This window comes from Homo sapiens, chromosome 4 (genome assembly GCF_000001405.40).
Source record: "Homo sapiens chromosome 4, GRCh38.p14 Primary Assembly".
In the NCBI taxonomy this organism is placed as follows: domain Eukaryota; kingdom Metazoa; phylum Chordata; class Mammalia; order Primates; family Hominidae; genus Homo; species Homo sapiens.
Window position 1 is genome coordinate 152,547,325 of NC_000004.12, and position 13,471 is coordinate 152,560,795.

Sequence of the window (13,471 nt, forward strand, 5' to 3'; positions counted from 1 at the left end):
ATTGTTTTATTTCTATTAGGCTCATGGCTTCCTATTTTGTTAAATGGATTATAACCTGTTACTATTATTATTTATTTATTTTGATGCTTAAATTGTTCCCATATTTGGCTAATGGGAGTCCCTTTAAATTGGTGTCTGTGTCATTTTGTCCCATCATTCCTTGATTATTTACTTTTTTTCTTGCACAAAAAAGTGTTCTGGCTCATCTTATACCTTTCCTGACCCAGTATTGGAATCAGTTATTTCTCCAAGGGGTAAAGTTGCTAAATAAAATACAGCGTAGTCAGTTAAATTTGAATTTCAGGCAAATATATATTGCATGTATGTCCCATGCAATAATATCTTCTTTGCTAAATATTTACTGTATTTTCATTTGCCAAATCTGGCACCCTACCAAGGAGCCCTGATTCCTTTAAGTGGTAAATGGTATTTGGATGCCACAATCTGGCCAGGAGTGATGGCTCATGCCTGTAATCCCAACACTTTGGGAGGCCAAGGCAGATGGATTGCTTGAGCCCAGGAGTTCAAGACCAGCCTGAACAACATGGCAAAACCCCCATCTCTACAAAAAAATACAGCGATCAGCTGGGCATGGTGGCATGTGCCTGTATTCCCAGCTACTCAGAAGGCTGAGGTTGGTAGAACACCTAAGCCCGGAAGATGGAGGCTGCAGTGAGCCATGATTGTGCCACTGCACTCCAGCCTAGGTGATGGGAGTGAGACTCTATCTCAAAAAAAAAAAAAAAAAAAAAAAAAAAAAAAAAACCACAACCAGAGCAGGTCTGTTGATTCCACTTTTGTTTCTCAGGCTCTCTCAGTGGACTCTCAGGCTCTCTCAGTGGACAGCTCTCAGGCTCTCTCAGTGGACAGCACTAGGGAACACACACACACTCACATACACATTTACCTCTATACATGACAACATTGACGTTGATGTAATATGGATACAGAAACATTGCATTCTATGAGTTCACACCGATATTCTAATTCTAATTCAATACCTCAGGGATTATTCCAACTTTCTCCCTTTCCATATTTATGACTCCTTTCAAAGTGAGAAACTGGACTCCCATGAGCCTTAATATATTTATTTGTTTGATCCATCCCCTGGTACATTAACCAAACTCGCATTACTGCCACTGCTCCCTCCCCAGTGTCGCTGTCCTCCTCAGTCTGTGCCCTGACCCTTGTGCCAGGCCATCCCCACATGTAGACACTCCCTTCACTCGACTTGTGCTCTGGTAGCTCACCCAGGACACCCCACAGTGTGGATGCCCTCTTTACCTTGCTTGAGATCTGGTACCCTGGGTCAGGTCACCCTACTGCATGGATCTCTACTCCCCTGCTCAGGCTCTGCCACCATATAGCAGTCTGTCCTCCACTCATAAGCCCTCCTTGTCCTGCTATGGAACTCACACCACCCAGATCCTTCCCCAGTGGGATATCCCTCAATATCAGTGTGTTTGTATTTAGCAGGAACATCACTAAAGTGATGCCATGGACACCCTCCTTACCTCGCTTTAAGCACAAAAATTTTATTTAAGTCACACTTAAGTTTGAACTATTATATTACTCATTACTAACAATACAAACTGAGGTTTTCAGTGTAAAAGAAAGTTTGGCAGAGGCAACTGGAAAAATAGTTATCCAATGATATTTTTATTCATTTAAATTGAGTTGATACTAACCAATATTTATTGACTAATAATAAAAAGAGAAGTCAAAATTTTAAATGTAAACTCTTGGCTATAAACCTGTATTTCCACTTCTTCCTAAAACCCCCTAAGATAACAGTAAAGGAATGAAAATGGTACAAAAAAATACAAAGAGAACAGAAGACATGATGGCAGCAGAAAAGAATTGTCAGGAAATTCTAGAAGATAGAAAGTACTTGAACAAGGAATGACTGACTTAGAGAAAAAAAAGCTAAAACCTATGTTCCTGCACCAGTGTCCAGCACTAACAGGCTGATCCTTGATGCAGAACCCCAGAAAAATGACAGAAATTGAAGTCACTAATTGCCTCTCAAGACACAGGGTAAAGCAGAAAGCAGGCTTTCTCTTAAGCATGAATGAGCAACTAAGGATCACCACATGTTTGAGGAAAGTCTAACGTAAAAGTTAAAAAGAAAATTAACCTGGAGAAAACTAAGACAAAATGGAAGTAAAAGTTATCAATATTGTGATAAAAGTATATTAAAATGAAGGGAGGGGGACAATGGGGGTATGCATGAGTTTTAAGATCATTAAAGACTCATCTTTAATTTTAGGAAATTAATAGGTGATGTCTTGATTTCAAAAATTATGACACATATGTATATGCATGTTAGTTAGATGCAAATACTAAAGGAAAAAACACCTAAAAGAGTGGAAAATGGTTGCTCTAAGGAAGCCATGGCAAATGAAGGGAAAGACAGGTGATACTTGGTTTTCTTTACTGTAAGAAAGTCTTATTTTCCCCTGTATTACTTTGATTAAAATAATTTAATTTAAAAAATCAAGTTCATACAGATTGATGCATCTTGATATAGCACAGTTTGACAAGAAGGAGACTGTAGTGGAAACAACGAGAATTTGGCACCTAGATTCAAATACCAATTCTGCCCATTTACTGTTCATGTAACTGTACAACAACCCTTGAGATTCAGTTTAGACATTTGTAAATTGGGGATAATTATACTTGCCCTACTGTATTAGCTTCCCAGGGCTGTTGTAACAAAATACCATGGGCTAAGTGGTTTAAAACAACAGAAATTTATTGTCTTACAGTTCTGGAGGCTGGAAGTCCAAGATCAAGGTGCTGGAAGGTTTGGTTTCTCTGAGGTCTCTCTCCTTGGCTTGCAGATGTCCACCTTCTCCCTGTCTTGAAATGGCCCTTAGTGTATATGTGTGTGCATTCCTGTTTCTTCCCTTTATAAAGATATCAGTCATCTTGGATTAGCCCCACCCCACGGCCTCATTTTAACTTAATCACCTCTTTACAGACCTTATCACTATATACAGTTACATTTTGAACAACTGGGGGTTAGCACTTCAACATATTAATTTTAGGAGAATTCAATTCAGCCCCTAACACCTACCTATTACATTCACTAATTCGCTTAGATTTATTGGTCTCCTTCCATGTTCCAACCTGTGCTAGGCACTGAGGATTGAAATTGAGAATCAGATGAGATAATGACATTTTGAAAACTGACTTAAAATACCAAAAAAAAAAAAAAAACCCACACATTAAAGTATAGCCCACCCACATAATGCTTTGCTTGCAGGAAATCATTAAATTGAATGAAGTTAAATGACGAAAATGAAAGCTTTCTAAAAGGGGGAAAAAATGGGAAGCATGGACAAAGTTATAGAATAGCAACTATTATTTTTAAGCGCCTGATAGGTGCCAGGCACTGACTATAAAACTTATGTAAATTGTCTCATTTAATCCTTACTATGACCCTGCTGGGTAACTATTACCAAAACCATTTTACTGGTGAGAAACCTATTACTAAGAGACTGTAACATCCCGGAAGTTATACAGCTTTGTGGCTTGAATTTGGATCTACTTAATGCCAAAGGAACTCATGTTCCTTTTACTACTCTCTACTGTGAGTCAAAAACATAGAGAACTATGGTTAGGCTCTACTTCTTACATTATTTTTTGTTAAATATTAAGTATGTTCAAAAAACCATTATTCATGTGTATGGAGAATAATAATAAACTGAACACCTGTGTACTCACCAGCTGGCTTGAGAAAGAGAATATTGCCAGTACCTTAGCAGTCCCTGCATACATCTCTCTAGCCCCATTTTCTTCCCTTTTTTCCCAGAAGTAACCATTATTCTAGTTTTGTGCTCACCCACCTGTGATACACACACACACACACACACACACACAAATTTTCATTTTCCATGTTTTTTTTCACAAATAGGACTTTTTATTTGCCATTTTAAATGTCTGAGTGTTAAACACACTCTTGGACTGGTGGTTCATATCCATCAGCTCATTCAACTTTAGAACCTGTCTCTTCTCCAGTAGCTTTTCCAGAACTGCTACCTTCGCCATGAAGCTCCATGAGATTTCCCAATTCAAACTTGGTCTTCTTCAGCATTTTTACTTTTCTAATGAAGACATCATTGAGAGAATAAATAGATTGGTAAGCCTTATCTATGTCTTTTCCAATGCTGTCTGGAATCAATTTATTGACCACTTCTTTCAAGTCATTTCTCTGTACCTCTCGGGTCATGATTTCCATCATCTTCTTCCAGATTTGGCAGACCTGTTTGTGCTGAGCATAAGAGGTCTTCCATATCTGATTGTTATGTTTTTTAGTAAAAGCAGTACAGAATAGACAAAGCAAGTAACCGTCAGTAGTCTTGACATCAACATGAGCTTCAATCATGTCTGCCATTTTTTGACCATGGAACACATTCTGCCACAGGTAAGATCCATGCTATGGAAGTTAGGCAGTTTTTCCTGGACACCTTAAGTAATCAGCTTGAATTTTCTAAATGCAACTTCATAATTTTGCAGATCAGCAAGACTCATTTCAAACACACGACCCTTGAGGCCATCTGATGCAATTTTGGTTCCTTCAGTGCTGGTGACTAGTGTCTTTCCAATATTTCTTATGTTGAACATAGCAGGTGCTTTCACATCATACCAGTCTTTCTTAGAAACTAGATCAACTAGGCCGGGCATGGTGGCTCATGCCTGTAATCCCAGCACTTTGGGAGGCCAAGGTGGGTGGATCACGAGGTCAAGAGATCGAGACCATCTAGGCCAACGTGGTGAAACCCCGTCTCTACTAAAAATACAAAAATTAGCTGGGCATGGTGGCGCTCACCTGTAGTCTCAGCTACTCGGGAGGCTGAGGCAGGAGAATCGCTTGAACCCGGAGGGCAGAGGTTGCAGTGTGCCAAGATCACGCCACTGTACTCCAGCCTGGTGACAGAGCAAGACTGCGTCTCAAAAATAAAAAAAAAGAAAATAGATCAACCACTTTCTTCTTGGTTCCCCTTTTGCTGCCTTTCGTGAGGCACTTGTTCTTGCTGCTCAGAGAGCCAAAAGGCATTTTGCATATTTTCAAAATCTGAATGACTCATGTGTTCTGCTGGGATTCACTTGTTTCCTACTCAATATTAGGTTCCTAACTTATTCAGGCTGATACACGTAACCATAATTATATTGCCAGGGCCTCTGATGGTCTAGTACCACCAACCTGGCCGCTAGAATTCTGTTATTCCCATTTACTCTGGGGCATTTCTTACCATCAATCTTGATCTAGAGGACAAGCAGTTCTGAGCTTCTCAGAATATACTAGCATATTGCTTATCACTTTAATAAGGGAGTGTCCTCTAGGACCTCCCAGGGAACATTGTTGGCTGGTGGGTTCTCTGGTGTTACATAGTAAATGCATTCTTGGCCAGGTGCCGTGGTTCACACCAGTAATCCCAGCTGAGGGATTGGGATTTGGGAGGCTGAGGTGGGTAGATTGCTTGAGCCCAGAAGTTCAAGACCAGTCTGAGCAACATGGCAAAACCCCATTTCTACAAAAAATACAAAACTTAGCTGGGCACGGTAGTGCATGCCTGTAGTCCCAACTGCTCAGAGGGCTGAGGTGGGAGGATCGCTTGAGCCCAGCAAGTCAAGACTGCAGTGAGCTGAGATTGTGCCACTGCACTCCAGCCTGGGTGACAGAGTGAAACCGTGTCTCAAAAAAAAAAAATGCATTCTTACTTCTAATCTCTTTGAACTTGCTGACCTCTTCTTCATCTCTCTTCTAAGAAGTTCCAGCATCTCCATCTGATCATTATTTTCAAGTTTCAAGGAGCTGTTTCTGCAATGTATTAGGTACAGTTCTGGGCATTCTACCAGGATAGTGAGTCCCGTGTCACTGAATAATACACCTGTATTAACAAACTGTCCACTATTCAGTCTTATATTCTGCCCTCCCTGATTTGGCACCTTTAAGATTCATTTCCAGGAGAGTTCTCCCACTTCCTGCTAGTACCTATTTGCCAGGTTTTGCAGTGCTTTTGGTGAATAACCCCTTTCTTCACATAACAGTATTTCCTCGCTTGGCTCATAATAAGATTTCTCATTATTGGTCTAGAAGAAATGAAGAGAGGTAGGGATGGATCTTAGAGACAAGCATCATCCTGCAAGGCATTTGCCCTTGCTACGTGAGGCCTTGGCATAGTCTCCGAGCACCAGAAGTCTGATTTCTCCTAGCAAGGAGAAAGGCTCCAGAGTATTCTCACTCTCAGTTTTAAGAGGAATCTGGGGTTTTAAGGTCCTTGAGCCCATCTACCCAAATATCTCCATCGGAACTCTCAGGGCCCCTCTCCTTTTTCAGGTCCCTTGCTTTAGCATTAGAAATTTGGGGGCTGGGCACAGTGGCTCATACCTGTAATCCAAACACTTTAGGAGGCTGAGGTGGGTGGACTGCTTGAGCCAGGAGTTGGAGACTAGCTTGGGAAACATGGTGAAACCTCGTCTCTATGAAAAAAAAAAAAAATCAGCTGAGCATGGTGGTGCATGCCTATAGTCCCAGCTACTTGGAGGCCTGAGGTGAGAGTAGATAGATCACTTGAGCCCAGGAGGTTGAGGCTGCAGTGAGGCATGTTCGCACCACTGCTCTCCAGCCTAGGTGGCAAAGTGAGACCCTGAAAAAAAAGAAAGAAAGAAAGAAAGAAAGAAAGAAAGAAAGAAAGAAAGAAAGAAAGAGAAAGAAAGAGAGCGAGAGAGAGAGAGAGAAAGAAAGAAAGAAAGAGAAAGAAAGAAAAAGAAAGAAAGAAGGAAAGAAAGAAGAAAAGAAAGAGAAAGAAAGAAAGCTGGTGGGCTGTGAACTCAGTCTCCTTTTTAGCTCTGTTGTATTTAAGATCAAACTTGGGGTCTTATTCTTCAGCTCATTCTACCCTCTGTCTACAGATGAGACTCCCTTTAAATGATGCCATGAAAGATTTCTGGCTTTTAACCCATGCTCTAAGTCAATGATTACCTCACCTGAGCCTGCTATTTCCTTCCTTTGTGGCTTCTCTAGCAGTTAACAACAAGCAACCAGCTCCACAGTTCTCATAATTATCATTGTCCCTGTATCTTTCAGTTCAAGAGCTACTCTATCAGCCAGTGCATTTCCCCGCCACCTACACACTACCGCAGTTAATCACAGGCAAGACTCTTAGTAATAGTGATGCTATAGCACTCCAGAGATCATCACTGCCCCACTTACTAACAGTGATGGGGTTTTTGTTGACCTGCTCTTTGTTGGCCAGCAAGTGACCCAATGCTAGAATCTCATTCTGAGGGTCTTCTGCCTTGGGCCATTCCTAAGACTTCCTGACTTAGGCTAGGTTCCTCCAAAACTAAGGATTTGAGTACAAGTGGTATGTTTGAAGTGTAAAATGTACCAGGAAGAACTAGTAGAGTAGTGAAGACTTGAGCCAGCAAAGGAAAGAGGCCAGCAGAATATTTAATCGCCAAGTTACCCACTGAGAACAATTGGGGCTCAGTCCCACCAAAAACCTCTGGGAGATGTGGAATACACATCAAAATTTTCCCACCCAGCGGGGGGCAGGAAAGCTGGGGTGTTTGTCTTTCAACTCCCATTTGCCCTTGGGTAAGAGCTGTTCCCCCAGCATGGACCTGCCACAGAGACAGAAAGAAGCCCTTGGGCCACAGGCAGAGAGTCACAGATGCTTCCAGTAACACTGGCTTATACTAGATCATCCCAAAGGACCTGGGGGATGTGGGCAGGGCACTGATGGCTGTCAGCTATACATGTTCCAATGACTTCCTGTCTAAAATAGCTTCATCACCTTTCCTCATCATTGCCCGTCCTCTTCAGCTGCTTTCTTTTACTTCTACCTGTCATTCTATTATATTTCTATTTCTTTTCTTTGTCTTTCTTTCTCTCTTTTTTTTTTTTTTTTTTTCTGAGACAGGGTCTGGCGCTGTTGCCCAGGCTGGAGCGCAGTGCAGTGGTGTGATCTTGGCTCACTGCAACATCTGCTTCCTGAGCTCAAGCAATCCTCCCACCTCAGCCTCCTGAGTAGCTGGAACCACAGGTGCGCACCACCATGCCTGGCTAATTTTTTGTATTTGTGGTAGAGACAAGGTTTCACCATGTTGCCCAGGCTGGTCTCAAACTCCTGACCTCAAGTAATCCACTTGCCTTGGCCTCCCAAAGAGCTGGGATTATAGGCGTGAGCCACCGCGCCTAGCCAATATTTATATTTATTTTCTTATCTGTCTCTCCACTTCCACTAGAATATAGGCCAGGGACTTCATCTGATTTATTTGCCACTATAATACATCCTTATACCCAGAACAGTGCCTAAGACATAGTATGGACACAAAAAAAATTTAGAACGAATGAGTGAATGAAAAAAAGTGATATTTGCAATATAGTTTGAAAACAGCCTCTGTGACTAGGAAGTTAGGAAGGAGAAGGAAATTATTAGAATTTGAGAAGAGAGGTTAATTGAGTGGAGCCATAAGAAGCAAATATGAATTTGTCAAGGGAATCAAACATGAAAAAGTTGTTCCATTCAAAAACTTTTCGGTTTCAATTGCCTAAGAAGAAAACAGCTAATGCATCGAGAAGAAATAACAGAATGTTTAAAATCAATCCTTTTTTAAAACAAACAAACAAACAAACAAACAATGGAATAATCAATTTAGGCAAGGATTACCAATGGACACTAAAACTGTTAGGAAAAAGTAAATGCCAAACAAGATATTCACTTGTGGTTAAAGCACAGCACACAGATTGCTTGCTAATTGCTAAGGAAAAAATATACCTTCATAGGAAAGAGATCTAGCAATCACCACCTTAAACACACAGTCAAATTTAGCATCACCCAGTGAAACAGCCTATTTACCTCCTCATGTGATACAATACGAAGGACCCAGCATGATCTAGGAAGTATTCTTGCCAAAAATAAATCAAGCCTTTAGGCCTAACTTCCAAAACATAGAGGTGTAAGTTAAACACCATCACAAGGAAATAATTAGACAAATCTTTTTGGTCTGGATTTTTTCACTTAGCGTAATTATTTTGAGTTGGTTTCTTTCCCTCCTGTATCAACGATTGTTTTTTTTTTAATTGCTGAGTTCCATTGTGTGGGTCTATCACAATTTGTTTTTCTGTTCACCTGTTGATGGATATTTGAGTTGTTTCCAGTTTGGGGCTATTACAAATAAAGCTACTAGGAACATTTGTGGACTCATGTTTGTTTCGACTTTCGCTTTCGTTTTTCTTGAGAGAAAAACCTAAGGGTTGAATGGCTGCATAAGTATTCATATACATTTACATTTGGCAGGTATGTATGTAATTTGTAAAGAAATGGTTCAACCATTCTTCAGAGTGTCATTTTACATGCCCACCAGCAGTACATGAGAATTCCACATTCTCATCAATGCTTAGTTTGGTCAGTCTTTTTACTATTATCCATTCTATCAGGCGTGTGATGGTATCTCCCTGTGGTTTTAATTTGTATTTTAATTTTATGAAGCCCAATTGATTGATTTTCTTTCTTTTATAGTCCAAGCTTTTTGTGTTATATTTAAGAAATCTTTGTCAAACCCCCAGTCACTGAGATTTTTCCCTCTGTTTTCTTCTAGAAATTTTATAGGTTTTTTTGTTTGTGTGTTTGTTTTGAGACACAGTCTTGCTCTGTCGCCCACGCTGGAGTGCAGTGGTACGATGTCAGCTCACTGCAACCTCTGCCTCTGAAGTTCAAGGGATTCTCCTGGCTCAGCCTCATGAGTAGCTGGGATTACAGGCATGAGCCACCAGGCCCAGCTAATTTTTTGTATTTTTAGCTTTTGCATGTAGGCCCTATGATCAAATTTAAGTTACTTTTTGCATATGATGTGAGGTGAAAGTCAAAGTTTATTACTTTTGTTTAGGGTATATGCTTACTCTAAATCAGGTGTGAAGTGCTGAGATTGAATATAGAGAAGATACCAGTGAGAAGTTAGACACTGATAGGAAAAGGACTTGGTGATTGATTACAGCCTACATTTTCCAGGACAGTCCCAATTTTTAATTTTCTGTCCTATTTTCCTCCCAACTTTTATTATTAAATAGTTCAAACATACAGAGAAGTTGAAATAGTCCTACTATGTAGGAAACCCATATTCCTACTATATAGATTCAACAGTTGTTAAAGTGTTTCCATATTGCTTTATTTAGATATTTTCCAGAACCATTTAAACATAAATTATAGCAACTGTGACACTTTACCCCTAAATGCTTCAAAATGCAACATTAGGCTAGGCTTCTACATAAAAAGTAATACAATTTTTACACCCAAGGAAATTAACAGTGATTCTTTATTGTCATTTTGTATTCAATCCTATTCAAATTTTCCCTAGTGGTATCTACAGTGTTTTCAAACCAGCATTCAATCAAGTTGCACTCACTGCATTTTTTTTCTTTTATTTCTTTAGTCTTTTAATCTGGAACATTCCTCCACCTTTTGAAAAAATAAGCATCTTCTAGACTGTAGCATAGACAGTACATATTGCATAATTCCATATATATAACACTTTGGAAAATGCAAATTAATCTATAGTGACAGAAAGCAGATCAATGGTTATCTGGGGAAGAGGTAGAGTGGGGAAAGGAAGGAAAAGTGGATTGCTCTGAGGAAATTTTTGGGGTGATACGTACGTTATTTGATTGTGATGATGGTCCACAGTTCTGTACATACATCAAAACTACTAAGTTGTACATTTTTAATACGTGCAATTTACTGTATATCAATTATAATTCAATACTCTAAAAAGCTGGAGGGGACAGAATGTACTTGCTTCTAAATTTCTGATATCCTACTTCCACTTACAGCACTTTACAAGGGATTTGAAGAGGCATCTATCTTAAACAATAGCAACAATACACTTTAAGTTTTAAACTACATTTTATGAAAGTGCCTGAAAACAATTTCAGAAAACATTTTAAAATGCACTTTCATTTAAAATCAAAAGAAAAAAAATTCAGTGGCTGCTCATTAATTGCCCAGTGAATTAAAGAGGGAGCTCACAGAAGGGTCTAAACTTTCTTTTCTGCCTTTTCTCCCATCACTACCTTATGTACATCCCATCACTACCTTATGTACATCCCATCCCAGATTGACTGAAGCCTGTGCTGCTGATGCCTTTGTCCATGTTCTTTCTGCTTGAGAGGCCCTCTTTCCACATGGGCCTCCTTCTCCCTTCAGCTATCTCTGACAGGCAGAAATCCTACTCATCCTGTAAAGCTTCTTCTGGAAGCTTTGCTGATTACTCTCACCCTAACCAGATGTGTGTTCATTCCCACAGGCACCTCCACCCACGGTTCATCCTGCCCCTGGTGTTCTTTCCAGGGCTGGGACCAGGGGGAGGCAAAGTGAGGCAGTTACTTGAGTTGCAAATTTTAAGGGGATGCCAAATAACTCAGTAACCCAGTATTTTCAAATCAGTATCTAATCAAGTTTCACTCATTACATTTAGTTATGTCTCTTTAGACCCTTTTCATCTAGAACATTCCCCCACCGTTATAAAATGTATCTTGCAGAATGTACCATATTCAGTACATATTGAATAACTCCATTTTCTAATTGTGTATAATATAGTATTTTAAATAAATGTTTTAGCAAATCAAAATAATGCAAGAAATTGATGTTGAACAAAATATCAGAATTTAAAATAAAGACAGGATCAGTATTACTGATTCTTCCTGAGCCTTGGGCTCCAACATGGCTCCAGCCAGCACTGGCTCCTTTACAAACTGCAGGGATACAAGGACTCACTCATCTTGTATGCCCTGCCACACCTGTCCTAGGGCCTGGCAAGTCACAGGCACCCATTCGTCTGACAACAATTTTCTGCTCCTTCCATGTATTACTTCCCTCATTAAAAGAAGCAAATAAAACAGCAGCAGTGATTAAGTCATCTAAGGACAGATTCATGAAGGAAAAAATATGTAACAGGCTTGTATTCAAAGAAAATAAGAATTATCTCTAAGGCAAAGAATTTCAGCTACATCCTACAAGTGAAGATAGACCACAAGGGGAAAAAAGCTATTATTCTAAATATTTTTCATTTTAAAATGCTCTTTTTTATTACCAATAGTAATCATCCTGAATAACTGAAATCATCACATCCCCTTCTTATCTTTGGTATAGAAATTTTTTTTTGGTCATAAACAGATGCACAATTCTTGATATAAAATTTAATATATTACATATAGCCCCATTTCCAGATTTTCTTATCTTTCAGTTATAGATTTCTTTCTTGCAGCAGGGATGAAAAGAATTGTCTGTTTGTGGGCGTTCACATTCTTTGTGATTTAATAACCATTTTGACAGTCCTCTTTTGTAGGCCTAAGACTTTAAAATAAAATCTAGGAAAAGATTCAATGACAAATAGGGTATCTCAGTATCACCATTGTGTTCCTGTATTAATCAGAGATTTAATTATTTAATTCATCTCTTCGAGCATCATGATATCATCCTATGTAGTCTATTTTCTAATCTGGCTAAAACCGGTTTGGTTCTCATGACTCTGTAATACACGGGTAGTACAGAAAACCTCAGTGCTTAAAGGGGAAACAAAACTAAAATAACTTACTGGTCTGCTGTATATTTTCATGTTCTTAGAACTATTGTTTCTAATATTATATGTACAATTAGACTGCTTTGTTTGGTAATATATTCAATTTTTAACATTATCTAGTCTTATCAGGAGATAAACACAGCAGAATTCAAATGGCTTAAGTACTCTCTGTGTAAAAGGATAAATTCTTGCTCCTTAAATTACGGTAAACTATGCCCCACATTCACTGAAAACTTAAAACTGCCATTAACTATCATGGAGATCCATCAATTTAGTTCCATCTTAAGAGTGAACAATAATGAACAAGGATAAGAAGCATGAAACATGAAATGTTTTTAAATGAAACAAAACTGATTAGAACCTAGGACTAGATTCCTCCATTTGTTAATCCAATGAAACCTACCATATATAAGAGTATCTTGCCTATCTTGGGGGGAAAAACCAGCCAAAGACTTGGAGGATGCCTTATGTATTTTTTCATCAAGATTATTGGTGATTCATAAATTGTCTTTTGAAAGTTTAATTATAATTTTAGATTTTATTGCTGACAATAGGCAGAAATGAATTGATGTATGTTAGTTATTTGCTAGGAAGGAAGATCTAATTATTCTTTAGGTTAAAGAACAAAAACAAAACAACAACACAGCTAGAGACCACCTTTTTGGGGGCAGTTGCCTTTCTCTTCCTTCATCAAGTTTTGTAGTCAAGAATTAGAATAGGGCCAGGTGCCGTGACTCAGTGTCGAATCCCAACGCTTTGGGAGTCTGAGGCAGGAGGGTCACTTGAGGCCAGGAGTTCAAGACCAGCCTGGGCAACATAGCAAGGCCCTGTCTCCACAAAAGAATAAATAAATAAATAAATAAAATTAGCTGGGCATGGT

The 13,471-nt window shown here is 39.2% G+C and overlaps 1 pseudogene, besides 2 other annotated features; it reads right to left on the reverse strand.

The window, feature by feature from the left end:
• On the reverse strand, positions 3,910-5,059 carry RPS3AP18 (RPS3A pseudogene 18; annotated as a pseudogene).
• Positions 4,877-5,086: an enhancer, noted in NCBI's record as "active region_22034". NCBI's record gives its function as "activates an Ori minimal core promoter by ATAC-STARR-seq in GM12878 lymphoblastoid cells {active_cell/tissue: GM12878}" and the evidence as "EXISTENCE:reporter gene assay evidence [ECO:0000049][PMID:35858748]".
• Positions 7,321-7,470: an enhancer, noted in NCBI's record as "active region_22035". NCBI's record gives its function as "activates an Ori minimal core promoter by ATAC-STARR-seq in GM12878 lymphoblastoid cells {active_cell/tissue: GM12878}" and the evidence as "EXISTENCE:reporter gene assay evidence [ECO:0000049][PMID:35858748]".